The sequence below is a fragment of the Homo sapiens genome, chromosome 21 (genome assembly GCF_000001405.40).
Source record: "Homo sapiens chromosome 21, GRCh38.p14 Primary Assembly".
In the NCBI taxonomy this organism is placed as follows: Eukaryota; Metazoa; Chordata; class Mammalia; order Primates; family Hominidae; genus Homo; species Homo sapiens.
In genome coordinates, this window is record NC_000021.9 from 32,727,125 (window position 1) to 32,743,194 (window position 16,070).

The window sequence follows — 16,070 nt, forward strand, 5'->3', positions numbered from 1 at the left end:
TCATACCAAGGCAAGACAAGGTTTTAGCACTGTAAGTCAATCAACGGTCTGGTTGAGTTTCCCGTTTAATTTATGCTTACTGAAAGGAAAAATTTTGAGCGTATTTCGTCCGGAGCTGTTTATCAGCTTCCTGCTTCAAGATCTGTCACTACGTTGAAAGGGAACCTATTTGGAAACTTCAAGCAGTTCCTTCGAGGTGAAAGGAGCGGAGGTGGGAGGGAAGGGTGACAAGGCTGGTTCAAAGCTCCTTAGGGGGCAGGAGAAGGAAAAGGATTATCCCACGCGACAGGCTCTCCCGGGGGTGGCGATGAAGGGCAAGGGAAAAGGCACAGGTTACCGCCGCCTCTCCTGCCCCGGGCTACCGCCGGCTGGGGGGACGGCAGGCGGGGCCGATAAATACGAATGGCCACCCGGGAAGAGTCACGACTCGGGGCACCGACCCGACTGGGGCTCCTCGGGGGTCCCGGGCAGTCGACTGCCCGGGAAAGCGGCTCCTTCTCGGAGAGACGGAAGAGCCGAGCAGCCCAAACCCTCCATTTATGCGCCAGAAGAGATACCCCGGCGCCCAGGCGGATTCGGTTCGTTCCCGCGGGCGGGCTGACAGCCGCTGTCACCACAGCCCCCAGCCTGACGCGGCACCCCGCACAACCAGTGGTCTGCTCACAACCCCGCCCGTCCTCCCGCACCCCGGCTGCTCGCGGTCGCCCCTCACCGCTCCCGCTGACGCTGCGGAGGCAGAGACTGGTCTTGGAGGCGTCCGCCCGCCCGGCTGCCCGTGGGTCTGGCCGCAGCAGCTCCCCGCCCCCCGCCGGCTTGCTCACCTCTTCCTCCGGCTCCTCCTCCTCCTTCTCCCGCAGCCGCCGCCACAGCCGCCGGGAGCGTCACTTCCGCTCCAGCAGGCCCATCTCTTCCGCATTGCGCCGCGGCCGGGGGCGGAAGATCCGCCCCGCGCGAGGGAAGGGGCGGGGCATCAGGAGGGAGACCACGCCCACTCTGCGCCGACCGGCTGGGCCTGGCACCCGCGGGCGGCCCCAGCCTCAGTCTCCAGCTACCTTTGCCTCCTGCGGCCGCCCCCAGGCAGAGCTGCGATCCCACCGCCGGGGGTGCAGGGAGAGGGAAGATCTGGCCTCCTTGGTCCTTTTGCGTGGGCTCTTCAGAGCGTGAGCGCCGGGGAGGGACTCCGGAGAAAAGCTTGGGGGGCTGCGTATTGCTGCTCCCCAAGCTGGGCGTCAGGACCAACCCCGCCGCCCCCACGGGCCTGACGGGAGAGGAGGAAGGGCTCGGGACGGTCGGCTCGCCGAGCCAACCAGGTGGCGCCTGAAGAGCTGTCCATGGTGTCGACAGCCCAGCAAACGGCACCGAGTTCCTAGTCTGAGTGTCTGGATAGGTAGCAGAAGAAAAACTAATGCCTGCTCTGGGACAGTTCTGTTCGGTGCCTTTTCTTGTGTGTTCTGGAGCTCACAGGGTTCTATCGAAGAGTGCTTAGGTGTATACGATGGAGAGTGGGACGTCACAAACCAGGATCTCAAGGCTGAGTCCAACAAAACATGGCCGTAGGGAGGCCACGACAGCTGTGGTTGTCACCGACGGATGAATAGCTTTTGCCAACCGTGGAATTTAGTAACTAAAGGCACCTAACCCTTTTATCTCATCCTCATTTTTCAACAAATGGTGCTTCCTGGCTAATATCAGCGTGTCCCATAGATTTCTGCTTCCATTGAATAGACCTAATAAGAAAGAGAATGAAGTCAAAGCCAACAGGGCAGAAAGAAATTGAAAACCTGAAGAACCCAGCACTCAAACTGTCTCCACTTGCGTTTGCTTTTTCTTTACCTCTTCTCCTTCTGGTTTTCAACAGCCAAAGCAGGATTTAAATTTGGTTATGTTGCAAAAATCATTTCCCTCTTCAGGCCCTGTCATGTGACTTGATTTTTTCGTCCATTTTAGAGAAGCTGTACCCACCCTGGTTTCAGGACACGGAACTAAATTTATTAGAAAAGAAGCCACTTCAAGTCATGAAGGAGAAACACAAAGATTCTTGGATTTAGTTCTAAGAACTAGAGGGGATTTCTATGTCAGTACTGTCTCAGAAAAAACTGTTGATATCAAATGTGTTGCTTGAGAAGTACCTTTTTTTTTTTGAGACGGAGTCTCGCTCTGTCCGCCCAGGCTAGAGTGCAGTGGCGCGATCTCGGCTCACTGCAAGCTCCGCCTCCCGGGTTCACGCCGTTCTCCTGCCTCAGCCTCCCGAGTAGCTGGGATTACAGGTGCCCACCACCACGCCCGGCTAATTTTTGTATTTTTAGTAGAGACAGGGTTTCACCGTGTTAGCCAGGATGGTCTCGATCTCCTGACCTCGTGATCCACCCGCCTCGGCCTCCCAAAGTGCTGGGATAACAGGCGTGAGCCATCGCGCCCGGCCGAGAGGTACCTTTTATGACAACTGAAATCATTCAGTTTCAAGAGGAGTTGGGTACTGAAACCAAACTTGCTTACTCCAAAGCCCAAAATCCTTTCCACCATGCCTGTGTGTCTGTAAGGCTACACTAGAAATGCTTCCTTTCTTATAGTGGGAAGCATGGGTACTAAGCTCTTTTACGAACAAGTGTTCTGCATATTCCTGGTTCCTTTTTATTTTGGACTGAGGAGATTTAGGTCAAAATTTCTGGGTTCTGGGTTGGAATTCCAGCTTCTTTCTTCAAATTAAACTGGGGGGTAGCAAGACTTATTCCTAGATTTGTTAGAAGGCCACAGCTTTTCCACATCTCATTTTAGTCATGAAAAAGACACATGCCCAGAGTTTGAAAAACATAAAGGCAATTTGACTAGTGGCTTGATTGGTTCTATCTTCTTTTTCTTGTCCCTCTTTCCTATTTATACTTCTACTTTTGTTACAGCATTTGACAATAGTTGGAAAAATTTTCACTGACCTTGAAATGTCTTTGGGATAGGGTGACTTAAAATATAGGTTAAGTGGCATACACAAACTTCTTAGTGAGATCCTAAGGGCCTACAGAGACAGGCTGACACCAACTCAACCCTTGAAACTGTGCAATGAAGAGCCTGTGGGAGGCTAAAAAACGCTACTTCAAAAAGAGATCCTTGTCTGTGAATGTTAATTTAGGTTTACAGATTTGATTAAGGGTCTTGAGATTATTTTCAATTATCCAGGTGGGCCCTAGAGCCCTAGATGCAATCATAAGTGTCCTTATAACAGGGAGGCAGAGGAAAATTAAACACGCACACAGGAGAGAGAGAGAGAGAAAAAAAAGTGATGTGAAGACAGCAGCAGAGATTGGAGCGATGTGGCCATAGCCAAGCTATGTCAGCAGCCATCAGAAGTTGGAAGAGGCAAGGAAGGATTTGAGCCTAGAGCCTTTGGAAGGAGCATGGCCCTGTTGGTTCTGGCCTCCAGAACTGCAAGAAAATACATTTTTGTTGTTTTAAACCACCCAGTTCATGGTAATTTGTAACACCAGCTACAAGAAATTAACACAAGGCTGATGTGACTTTCCATCAGGAGAGAGACAGCCCCAGGTAGGTGTTTCAGATATCACATCCAATAGAACAAATTAAAGACAAACACCCTAAATTCTAGATGTTGATTTGTGAGCAAGTTATTTCTCCTATGGGCAACTCTAGTTGAAATATGCAATTCATTATGTTGAAACATGGAATTGTTATTTTCATAGGTTAAAAAAAAATCACATAGTGGCAATATAGTAGTAGTGCTCGTTTTTTGTTTTTTGTTTTTTTGTCAAAAATGCTAGACAACATGGAAGATCAGGGAAATATTAACAGTCTGATTCAGTAACCTTTAACAGCTTCTTTTCAGGTTACACAGGCTAAGCTAACTTTTATATCAGGATCAGGATCTGCAGAGTTATTAGTATAGTGCTCTGCAGATCCTGGTCCTAGTATAGCAGGATCTGCAGACCCTAGTTGTACCTGGCCATGTTCCCCACCAATGACTGAGAAAGAAATGGCTCGAACAGAAAACAGTGGTCTTGAAAGGCAACGCAACAGTAGGTTACAAATAGCATTAGCTTTTTCTTTAAAGAAATTCATTGTAACCAGTGAAGGATAAGATTTTAAATTAGAAAAATGGAAATCCTATGAATAAAAAACTAGTAAGCTTGAGAGCAGAATCACTGTGGAAAAAAAACAGATTGAAAAATAACTTGCAGGTATCATAGACAGGAAATTGCCACTAGAGAAAACAGGAAACTTGTGATAGATAAAAATGAAGTATTTTCATTTGGAACAAGAGACCAACTGAAGAGAGATCAAGTGAAGGGGGTTTATTTTAATGAAACACAAAGATTCTTGTGGAAATCAAAGTGCCGGAGCCAGAAACAGGGCTCAACCTTCAAGATTAGAGCTGTATTCAAGTTGTTCAAGTTGGCTCTCGGTCCCAAAGCAACAGCAATGTCACTAAGGTTACAAGTAAAAGGTAAGCTTTCATGATCAAAATGTTTTTGCAAAGTAGCTTAAAATGGTTTCTGCAGTGTTTTGTCAAAACTTTTCTCATACATTTTCCTAAAGATATTTAGCAAGAGCCTAAGAAGTCATGTGCTAGGGATTTTCATTGTACTGAATGATTGTATCCTTTAAGCCGCTGCTGGAGTTAGGACTGACAGGAACGCAGTACAAATTACTGGGGGCTAGAGTCCCAAAGCAGGCCAGGGACCAGTCTACATTGCATGTCGATACCAATCCCATATAACAATATTCAGCCTGTGTTTGGGCAGTCTGAGGCAGCTTTTAGCAGCTGTGAACCCAGTATCCATGGACAGTTTCATTTCTGGAGGGCAGTCTTCAAAACGTTTATGAAAGTACACCTCCCATTCAGATATGTTTTTTTCTTCCTACATGTAGTGCTAGTGTTTTTCTCATTTTCATTTACTTGAAACAACAGATCAAATGTTTTGTCATAATCAGTGAATGGCAAGACTCCCTTTATTACATGGGTATTACCATGTTAGAGATAAGAAGAGCTCTTGTAACCATTAACAACCACTACAATGTAGCAACTTACAGTTTCCTATTTTATATTGCAGCTCTGTAACATTTGACTACTTTTGTAAGAGTTTCATGATTTCAAGGATGATTATTAGCATTTTCAATTTTTTGGCCAATTCTGGGTGCTGGTAATGTTACCACTGCAGGCAACTATGGCTCTACTCAACTGAAGACCTCTTATAGGCAATGTGGACCATACCTGCTTTCCTGAGAGATCAGCAAATTGGGTTTGGTCATCAGGAAATTCTGTCTCTCAGATCTCATACTAGCAAGGAGACCCCTGGTTGTACCTGTCAGAGCTGCCAGTTGGCCCTGCTGAAACTTTAGAACTGCACCAATGTCTAAGACTTTCATCCTCCTTCCTTCACACAGGTGAGACCTGCCTGCCTCATTGTCTGACAGCTTTCCCAGCCTCCTCCAGGCTCCCCTCCGTTTTCTCTTATACGCATTCCCCCAATAAACTTCCTGTACATTTAATACCATCTCAGTGTCTGCTCCCAGGAGGACCCTAACTGACACACTGGGGCATTTAGCCTCCAATTCCTTTTCTCCCTTGGCTGAGATCTGTTCCAGGAAGTATCTCCAGGACACTCCAGCCTGTTGCACAGGCCAAAGAAAAGCCCTCAGGCAGAGGAGCAAATACTTGCAAGAGGACACCAGTGGCAAGAACAGGGACATGGTGAGACTTCGACATCATTGGCTACAGTAGTACTAGTCACTCTTGACTGTGGTTTATGTTGTTTCAATAAAGTAGCTTTCCTTCTCAAAAACATTTGTCACCTATTTTGGAGTTAATTCAGAGGATTGCTCCAAAAGAAAAAACTGAAAAGCAAAACCAGCTTTATTAAAATGTAACCCTCTGGATTTATCTTTTGATAATTCCTTTCATAAGAAATAATGTCCTTAAGCTATTTCAGGAATAAAAATGTTCTGCTTGGGATAGAAAAACCATTGTTTTATGTACCCTACATCAAATTCCTAGTGTGATGTTCAAACCCATTCCTGAAACCAATATAGCCTGACAGATTTCATAGGATAAAAACTCTATTTTAAGAGTTCTTAAAAGCAGAGTAATTAGTCTAATGGGTTTGGAAATAATATGCAGTTTAAGGCCTAAATGATCTGTATGTGATACAGATACATGTTTTATGTTTTATTCTACTTAAGATGAGGAATAGGTGTTCTGACTTTAATTCTACTTAGTAGGCCAGTAAGGTGTAATGAAAAATTCATCCAGAATGAATACTGATTTGGTTTGGTTCTGTGTCCCCACCCAAATCTCACCTTGAATTGTAATAATCCCCACATCAAGGGCGGGACCAGGTGGAGATAACTGAATCATGGGGGGTGGTTTCCGCCATGCTGTTCTCCTGAGTTCTCATGAAATCTCATGGCTTCATAAGGGACTTCCCCCTTCCCTCAGCACTCATTTCTCTCTGCAGCCACCCTGTGAAGACGTGCCTTTCGTCAAGATTGTAAGTTTCCTGAGGCCTTCCCACCCATGCGGAACTGTGAGTCAATTAAACCTCTTTATAAATTACCTAGTCTCAAGTATGTCCCTATAACAGCGTGAGAATGAACTAATACAAATATGTAGGGATAAGATAAAATTAACAGAGCAAATACAGTGCATGACACTGTTCTGCATATTATGTCCTGATCAAGGGTACACATGGGCCTGCTCACAGTCCCACTTTATTAGAGTCATTTGAAATGCTGCAAATTTAGTCGTCAGGAAAATACAACAAAGGATATATTTAAAAATTAATTTAATGCTTGGCTAAATCTTAATTACATATATAATTATCAAACGATAGTCCTTAATTTCCAAAAAAATTCCTCTTTTGAAAATCACAGAATCAGAAAGCATAAACTTTAAAACAAGTTCTCTGAATATTTACAATGTGGTATAAACATTATAGAAGACCATGGATATTAAATTGCCTGGGTGTGGCTAATCAGCAAGGCGTATTCTTTATTGCATATTTAACTCACATATGTGGGATTTTAAATATGACAGACTACTAAAATTCAAATGCATGTATCTGCAAGCTGGGCAGGGAGTAAAATCATGAATGAGACAGGACGGTCAGCCCAAAACCATGCAATTAGGTTGTGGGTTTATTATTTTCAAAAGTGAAATTTCTATGTTCCATTTGAAACTATGTTGCATATTCATTTAGCATTCACATTAAACCCACATTTGACTCTAACGCTGATTCAAGGAAGAAAGTTCAACATTCACTCAATGACTAAGTCCACAACTCAACTCTCAATGTTAAGGCAGCACAGCTACAGTGATAGCAACGCTAACCAAAAGGTAATGAACATTTAGTCACTTGCCAGCCCTTTTGTTACAACAGTGTAGTAATTTCCCTAAGACAATTTGCTACCGGATAATTTTCTGCTGTTAAAAGGCTTCCTCTGTGGAAAAACACCACAAATTTCCAGTGTGAAAGTAAGTCCATGGTGGTATAAATATATATATGCATAATTACACAATTTACACTGCACACATCGTTTACAGGGGACAATTAACTGAGAGGGTTAATTTAAATGACCATACAAAATACTTCAGTAAACAAAGTATGACAGGCAGTAAAGAAAACATTCATAGACTCCTAGAAATAATCTGAATTCCTTTCATTCTGAAGAAATATCATTTAAGGACACAGTATTGAATATAATGTTTTTTGTATTAAAACAAGAATTGCTATTTTACAGTTTAAGAAACTTTACATATATACAAAATTTACACATTGGGAATGGTAATCAAGCAAATAGGTTTTTCAGTCTCATAGATCTATTTTCCTTCGATCAAAGACTTAAATTCTTTCACATTGTGGTCACTTGCAACAGACATAGCATGATCCAAAGCTCGAACACTTGCAAGGAGTTTTACTATCTGTTTTATGTTTTCCCTAAAAGAAAAAAATATAGCAGCATCTCATTAATTAGTATATCTAAGAGAAAATTTGCTACTGATTTCATGGCTATTTTAGAGCTTCTGCAATCAATTTTTCCAAGCACACATTTTCAAAGAAAGGAAACAGATATGCAAGCTACAGCATGTTAAAAAAAAAAAAGTTTACATTTATCCATATAGAACAAAACTTACATATGTTTAAATGACTAGCCCAGAGACAGGGGACCCATTTTAAAAAAGCAAAACAAAATTCATTGAGATCAATGAGTTTCATTAATATTGAGAAAGAAAAGAAAGCAATCTGTTTTCAAACTACTTCAGAGGCCTGTCTCCCATTCCTTCCCAAACCAGAGTCCTGGCTGTTTTAGCGTATACCTGGAACACAAATCGTTATTTGTGTCTCTTCATCACCAATCTGTCAAGATCCAGCATAATTTCCACTCCACCAAAATTCACTAAATAAAGTATAATCTGACTTTCCTTATCACTCCAGCTAGAAGTCATTCTGCTTTCTTACTAGGAAGTAATCCTCAAATTTTAGCACACATTAGAATTACCTAGAGGATTGTTGAAATGCAGATCATCCCTGGCCCCACCCCAAGAGTTCTATTCAAGAGGCCCAGAGTGGGGCCCCGAGAACTTGCAAGTCTATCAGACTCCCATGCCATGCTGATACTGCTGGTCCAGGGACCACACTTTAAGAATGACTGTTTTAACATTTAGCTTAAACCACTCACGAGAAACAAGACATAATATGACATTAGTAATTGTCTCATCTCTTCTACAGAATTGTAGTAAGCACCTATTAGGGAAGAATTAGAATTTGCAAAACTTTCCAACCCACATGAAACCTGCTTTATGTGCACTGCACAAAGCAGGTGCTTACATAGCTGTTAAAGTTCTTTTCTGTAGAAAAGTAAACACTATTTGTTGATATTTAACTTCCAAACAGAAACACTGTTAAATATATGTAAATCAAAGTTTAAAATGTGATAAAATTTATCTAGTAGAAAACACAGAGAAAAAAATATTAGTGCCAACAAATAACAAAATGGCACACACTAAGAACAAAATCAAATCAGCCAAAACCTGCCAAAGAATTTTACCATTAAAATCTTTTTTGTTGTTGTTTTTTGAGACGGAGTGTTGGTCTTTCACCAGGCTGGAATGCAGTGGCGCAATCTCAGCTCACTGCAACCTCTGCCTCCCAGGTTCAAGCAATTCCCCTGCCTCAGCCTCCCGAGTAGGTGGGACTATAGGCACGCACCACCACACCCAGCTAATTTTTGTATTTTTAGTAGAAACAGGGTTTCACCATGTTGGCCAGGATGGTCTCCATCTCCTGACCTCATGATCCACCTGCCTCAGCCTCCCAAAGTACTGGGATTACAGGCATGAGCCACCATGCCTGGCCTAAAATCTTTAATAGCTACTTTAATTTTATTGTGGAAAAAATATCCAATTTTCTTGCAGGAAAATAGGTCCTTTTTCAAGAAAGGGGAATGAGGGATCAGAAGAAGGTTTTGTTATAGGGGTATGACTAATGGTGTGATCTAAACAAAAATTAGACTTTGACATTATGAAGATATATGAAATTAAAATTTTAAAAAGACAATTCCTTCAAACTGCCCTACTTAGTGTTATTATTTACTTTTTATGCTAGAGATTTATCCCAGAATTACCTGAACACCCATAAATTAATGTCCACAGAAAGGCTAATGGTTCACTCACTCTTTTCTTACAACCCTTGATAAAAATTAGAAATAAGTTGCCCCAAAAAGCCATGAGTGATAACCTCTAGTTCATAATATTGATTAAAACAAAAAATCTCCCCAAATTGGGAGATAAACTTGAATTTAAATCTGCATAATGAAACTCCAAACAAGAGAGTCTGAGACCTCTCTAATTCTTCAAAGAGGGAGACAGAGAAAACAACCGTTTACTCACTCCCCTGAGGGTTGGTCCTTACCAGAAGTCTTTCCTTAGTATCTTCATAAATAACATACTGAAAAAAAGTAAAAACTGCTAAAATGAAAAATTATGTGCATTTTTGGTAGGTTTATAATACTAAGTGAACATACAATTTAAACTAAAATATAAACATCTCTACTTAAAACATTTTAATACTAAATCTGGCAACTAAACAACTCTAGATTACCATTTCATTAATTACAAAATTACCTTGCATTTCTTTTTTCCACATCAGAACACCCGATACTATTTCTATAAATTGTATCCGCTAAGTGTACAAGGTATCGGCAAAAGTTTTCTAACTGAGAAATAGTCCTTTCTCCTTTCAGATTCATGAACCATTGTTTGGGGAAACAATTGATTACCTGTGGAGAAGAAAGACGTAAAATAAAATAGTTAAGACAGAATAAATTAAAGTATTAAAAGCAAAGTCTAGTTAATGGGTATAAATGTATTTCACCAGAAGACGTGCTTCTGAGCTACAGCAATTACTCTGAAGAAATATTCTTTTAAATCTGACTTCCTACATTAACTAAACCAATATACCTAAATTTTTACCCCAACCAATGGGTTAGGCACTCAAAGCAAAAGATAATCTGTCCAATATTTGAGTAAATTAGTAACATAAAACTGACAACCAACTGCTTCATTTTCCAGTCTTCTAGGATGGCCTAAATATACTGAATTTCCTTTTCCAGCAGCTTTTGATGTAAAAATGAGTGGTATAAAAATGAAATTACAGCACCCCCATCCCCTGCAATAATTCCACGAATAGACATCCATGCATGCTGCTAAGGGAAGTCGAGTTGGCCCAGACTGAGGTTAAGATAATAAGGTTATTATTCTGAAATCAAAACTTTTATTTATACCTATAAAAATATCAAAACTTTCACTAATATCTATAAAAATATGGATATAGATGGATATATATATATATAACAGTATGCATTTTTATGTAAAAAATGCTGTAGGGGGTTGGAACTACCTGGGTAGGCAAACTGTCAACCTTACATGCAAGTCCAGTAATCAAAGGGGTTTCATAAAATTCTCAAATCCCTCTTCAAACAAACAAAAACTTAATTCATTTTAAATTATATGCTTTAAAAACTGTACTATGCATTTAACTCACATTTTGGGCTTTTTTGATGCTGTCATCTCCATATTCTGAATTCTGAAAAGCCATGAGAATATATCGATTTAATAAACCATCTATTGATAACTCTTGCAGAGTTTTATTTGAGAAAATGCCATACCACTGAAGAAAATTGCCTAACAGCTGGAAAGAAGAAAAAAAATAGGTAATGTGAAACAATTAGATTAGGTACAAAGTAAATAAGTTACATAGTAAAACACCATATGAAATACAGCAGACCATGTCTTGCCAAAGTACTAAGAAATATTAATACTTTCAAAGGTACAGATATTTCCTAGAATGGTTACATTTGAATATTCAATTTTAATTAGTCAAAATCGAAACAGCCACATGTAGCTAGTGGCTACAGCACTGGTCAGCACAGATACAGAACATTTTCCATCATTGCAGACAGTACTATCAGGGAGTGCTGAGTCTTAGGTAAGTGTCCTCCATTCAAAATTACACTCTAGCTGGTTCTATGCACACCCCCACCCCGCCCCGCGCTGCCCACAAAAGATGGGAGAGTCTGACTACAACCCTGCATGGCTACCATGTATCATGAACTACAACCAAGTTATATCACTTATGCATCTCAAGCTACCCAAGCTCAATCAATATATAGAAAATGAAAGCTATCATCATAAAATGAAAGCCCCATCCCATCCCACCATAAAAACTTATAGTTTCCCAGTTGTTTCTCAACTTAGTAAATGGTAACACTATTCAACCAGCTGCTTGCGGCAGAGGTCTGGAGGTCATTCCTGACCTCTCTCTCAAGTTGTGTGTCTCCACGACCATCCAGTCTGTCCATTTCCCTCAGTTCCTGCTGCCATCCTCCGAATCTGACCCACCTTAATCTCTTCAGAACCCTGCAGTTACTCCAGTGATTATGAGCAAGAGCACTGAGTAGCCTTTCTGAAGCAGGGCTCTGCAAGAGTTCTAAACCTACAGAAAATGATTTGTGTGGCTCTTTACTCAGTTCTCCCAAGAATGATACATAGCTAGTACTGTTACAGATGCAGGGGAAAAAGAAGAATTCATTATAGACAATGGAGGCCTTAGGGCATTAGGTATTAAGTCTCCCACAGAAGCCCAGTTGAGAAGAGCAGCTCAAGAGTCAGACTGGCTGAGTTTGATTCCCATCTCTAATTACCAATGGAATGACCTTGTGCAGGTTATTGTGTGCCTCACTACCCCATCAGTAAAGTGAAAAAACAGCGTGTACCTCATTGAGCCATTCTGAGGATTCAACAAGATAATCTATGTAAAAGGTGCGGGACAGTGCTTGGTACATAGTAAACACACAGTAAGTACTAGTTCCCATAAAATACACAATAAATACCAGTTCCCATTTTCACTATCACTATCCATACCTACTTCAATCTATTATCTCCACATAGCAGACAGAGTAATCTTAAAAATGGTAATTTATAGACCTGTGGTTACGGCCGGGCGCGGTGGCTCACACCTGTAATCCCAGCACTTTGGGAGGCTGAGGCGGGCAGATCACGAGGTCAGGAGATCGAGACCATCCTGGCTAACATGATGAAACCCCGTCTCTACTAAAAATACAAAAAAGTAGCCGGGCGTGGTGGTGGGCGCCTGTAGTCCCAGCTACTCGGAAGGCTGAGCCAGGCAATTTATGGCTGGGCACAGTGGCTTATACCTGTAATCCCAGTACTTTGGGAGGCCAAGGAAGGAGGACCACTTGAGCTCAGGAGTTTGAGACCAGCCTAGGCAACACAAGACCTCGTCTCTTTAAAAAAAAAAAAAAAAAAAAAAAAAAAAAGGCAATTTGTTTACTTACCTTAAACCCTTCCATGACACATATAGTTAACTGGTTTTCAACAAAGGCACAAAAGCAATTCAATGGACTGTGAAAGGGAAATATCTTGGGCCTCTTCAAGCTGGGGACCCCGCTGAGGGCAAATCTGCCTCCCATTCTATTCAAAGTCATCTCTCAGCTCACAGAGATAGATGCATATTCTGATTGCCTCTTCTGGAAAAACTTATCAGAAACTCCAAAGAATGCAACCATCCCTCTCTCACCTACATGTGACCTGGAAGTCCCCAATGGGGGGGCCTTGCTTTGAGCTGTCTCCACCTTTCTGGATGGAACTAATGTATTTCTTACATATTGATTGATGTCTCGTGTCTCCCTAAAATGTATAAAACCAAGCTGTGCCCCGACCACCTTGGGCACATGTCATCAGAACTTCCTAAGGCTGTGTCACAGGTGTGTCCTCAATCTTGGCAAAATAAACTTTCTAAATTAACTGAGACCTGTCTCAAATTTTTGGTGTTCATAGGACAAAGGAATTTTTGGTGTTCACAGAAAAGGCTATCGCCTTTTCAACAAATAGTGCTGGAACAAGTAAACCTTAATCCAGGCCTCACACCCTATAATAAAAATTAACCTGAAAAGAGTCACAGACCTAAATGTAAAACCTAAAACTATGAAACTTCTAGAAGAAAGGATAGGAGAAAACCTTTGTGGCTTCATATTAGGCAAAGATTTCTTAGATATGACATCTAAAGCACAATCCATAACAGGAAAAAAAGATCAACTGGACTTCATCAAAATTAAGAACTTCTGCATATGGAAGACTATTAGAATGGAAAGATAAGCCACAAACTGAAAAAAAAAAATCTGCAAATCATTTATATGATAAACGACTTCTCTCCAGAATATAGAATTCAATGCTTAGTAAGAATAAAGCCCAATTTAAAACCTAAGCAAAAGATTTGAAGACATTTCACCAAAATACATAAACAAATTCCAAATAAGCACATGAAAACGTCCTCAACACTGTCATTAGGGAAATGCAAATGAAAACCACAATGAGATACCACATTGCACCCTGTAGAATGACTTAAAAAGCAAAACACTGACAACAGCAAGTATGGTGGGAGTAAGGAATAACCAGGACAGTAATAGGTTACTGGTAAGAACGCAAAATTATACAGCCACTTCAGAAGACAGCTTTGCCCGGCTGTTTCACCCAAATGAAATGAAACTTACATATTCAGAACACCCTTATAGAAGCTCTTACACCCTTATAGAAGGTCTGTTCATAACCAAATTGGAAATGTCGGGGCCAAGGGAAGGCTTCCCCTTTGCCCTATGAAGTTTCGCTGAAAATTACTGACAAGAGGCAAATTAACAGGAGAAAAGGCATATAAATTTATTTGATCACAGTTTTATGTAACATGACAGCCTTCAGAATGAAGACCCAAAGATGGAGGAGAAATTGTCTACTATGTTTAGGTTTAACGAAATATGTACAGGCATGCAGAAACATGACTGGACAAAAAGGTATGATCTACTGCTCAAGAGAAGACAACACAAGGCCTGTCCGTCCAGATTCTTCTTGGCCTCTCTGAGCAGCATTCTTTCCTTCTGGGTATGGGGCAGGACCCTCTCTGGAATGGGGGTTTTATGACCTATAATCAAACAAGGTAGGTCAGATGTTTTATGGCCAGTTTTTACACAGAAAGGCAGAGGCAAAATTAAGAGTAATATATTTAGGTTTTATGGTTGGCTTTGCGGAAAAGGGGTTCTGGTGTCTATGACCCGCCTGGGGCAACAGGGATTCTAGTTTCTATGGCAACCCTCAAGGGAGAACAGGACTGAAAGGTGGGCAGGAGAAGGTCAAAGAAAAAGTTCTTCTAAGGCTGTTTCTGAGGCCTTCATTTTATGGTATTGTTTTCTGAGTCCCAAGAGAAACAATCCAAATGTCCCTTAATTAGGGACTAAATGAAAACCAAAACCTAACTCTGGTGCACCTACACAGCAAGGCTGAACCTCAAATTTATTCAGTGGAAGCAGCCAGACTCAAAAGACTTTGCCTATCATGTAATTCCCTTCTCTTCATAGGACATAGACTGGGAGGTGGCCAGGGGCTTGTGGTGACCTTGACTACAAAAGAGAATGGGGAATTTCTCAGGACAATAAAAGTTGTACATATCTTGATTTTGGTAGTGATAACATGGCTGTATCTGCTCATCAGAATTTACAGAACTATACACTAAAAAGAGTGAATTTTACCGTATGTAAATTATACCTTTTATTTTTTTTTTAAGGAAAAAATCTTCCTGTGACTTCCTACAACTTTTGGGATAAGGACCAAAGTATTTCAAATGACCTACAAGATCCTCTATCATCTGGACTATGGACTTACTTGCTCACTCCAGCTGTCCTATGCTTTCTTCAGCGCCTCCAGTGTAGCCTGCTCTCTTTCACCTCAGGGCTAACTTCTATTTTTTCTCCAGGTCGAATGATCTAAATATCACTTCCTCAGGGTGGAAGGAAATCTTCTGGGACTAGCTAGTCAAGGTCTCTGTGCCCCTTGTCATATGTTCCACATTACCTTGAATGTCCCCTTTCATAACTCATCACACCTGAGATTACCTATTTGTTGTCAACTGTGCTGGACTGTGAACTCCACAAAGATTCCACTTCTAGCTTACTCAGTGCTATATCCCCGAACCTCAGAAGAGTATCTGCTACAGCAGTACTCCTTATCTGTGGTTTCAGTCAGCTGTGGCACAGTACAATAACATATTTTGAGAGAGAAACTACATTCATATAACCTTTACCACAGTATATTATTAATAACTGTTCTATTATTAGTTATTGTTAATCTCTTACTGTGCCTAATTTATAAGTTAAACTTTATCATAGGTATGTATGTAGAGGAAAAAACAGTATATATAGGGTTCGGTACTATCTGTGGTTTCAGGTAGCCACTGGGCATCTTAGAACATATACCCCATGGATACAGGGAGGACTACTGTAGTCTACTTGCTGAAAAAATTAATTGTGGCTTAGTCAGGCATTTCGTTGAGTACGATGGACCTTACTTTGGAACTCAGAAATCACTTTCTCCTGTGAAAATATCAAACTTGAATGAACTTTTGGAATAAAATACTTTGTAAAATGGAGATTTTGGGTATAGATATAAATAGATCTAAGCCTATGGAGTTAATAAAAAACAAAACACTCTAAAAAATGTA

General features: G+C 41.1%; 2 protein-coding genes and 1 long non-coding RNA gene across 30 annotated transcripts in view, besides 4 other annotated features; 1 reads left to right on the top strand and 2 right to left on the bottom strand.

The window, feature by feature from the left end:
• SYNJ1 (synaptojanin 1) overlaps positions 1-1,270 on the bottom strand; it is a 99,636-nt gene extending 98,366 nt beyond the window's left edge. For 15 of the 23 annotated variants that reach the window (XM_047441038.1, XM_017028497.3, XM_017028499.3 and 12 more), the window contains exon 1: positions 822-916. In XM_047441038.1, coding sequence (XP_047296994.1) covers positions 822-916 — 95 coding nt within the window. The other 8 variants (XM_047441039.1, XM_047441040.1, XM_047441050.1 and 5 more) reach the window with 4 other exon arrangements.
• Positions 95-595: an enhancer, noted in NCBI's record as "H3K27ac hESC enhancer chr21:34099530-34100030 (GRCh37/hg19 assembly coordinates)". NCBI's record gives its function as "activates a minimal SCP1, AML or CMV promoter by ChIP-STARR-seq in naive H9 embryonic stem cells {active_cell/tissue: H9 hESC(naive)}" and the evidence as "EXISTENCE:reporter gene assay evidence [ECO:0000049][PMID:30033119]".
• Positions 561-1,060: a silencer, noted in NCBI's record as "silent region_13248". NCBI's record gives its function as "represses an Ori minimal core promoter by ATAC-STARR-seq in GM12878 lymphoblastoid cells {active_cell/tissue: GM12878}" and the evidence as "EXISTENCE:reporter gene assay evidence [ECO:0000049][PMID:35858748]".
• Positions 561-1,096: a biological region, named in NCBI's record as "H3K27ac hESC enhancer GRCh37_chr21:34100031-34100531".
• Positions 596-1,096: an enhancer, noted in NCBI's record as "H3K27ac hESC enhancer chr21:34100031-34100531 (GRCh37/hg19 assembly coordinates)". NCBI's record gives its function as "activates a minimal SCP1, AML or CMV promoter by ChIP-STARR-seq in primed H9 embryonic stem cells {active_cell/tissue: H9 hESC(primed)}" and the evidence as "EXISTENCE:reporter gene assay evidence [ECO:0000049][PMID:30033119]".
• On the top strand, positions 990-15,998 carry PAXBP1-AS1 (PAXBP1 antisense RNA 1). Of its 2 annotated transcripts, NR_038879.1 has the most exons (4): positions 990-3,537; positions 6,465-6,533; positions 11,148-11,217; positions 15,138-15,998. It is a non-coding gene; the product is annotated as a PAXBP1 antisense RNA 1 (long non-coding RNA). The 2 variants fall into 2 exon arrangements; NR_038880.1 differs by lacking the exons at positions 6,465-6,533; positions 11,148-11,217; positions 15,138-15,998 and adding an exon at positions 5,395-5,792.
• The window catches only part of PAXBP1 (PAX3 and PAX7 binding protein 1), a 37,857-nt gene continuing 28,561 nt past the window's right edge, over positions 6,775-16,070 (bottom strand). For 2 of the 5 annotated variants that reach the window (NR_027873.2, NM_016631.4), the window contains exons 16-18: positions 11,049-11,195; positions 10,130-10,284; positions 6,775-7,943 (exon numbers count right to left, since the gene is read on the bottom strand). Coding sequence is in view for 4 of the 5 variants with exons in the window: in NM_016631.4 (NP_057715.2) it covers positions 7,826-7,943; positions 10,130-10,284; positions 11,049-11,195 (420 nt within the window). In the remaining variant the exon portion in view is untranslated. Of the gene's footprint in view, positions 7,944-10,129; positions 10,285-11,048; positions 11,196-14,214; positions 14,499-16,070 lie in introns of those variants that run through there. The other 3 variants (XM_006724066.3, XM_047441051.1, NM_013329.4) reach the window with 3 other exon arrangements.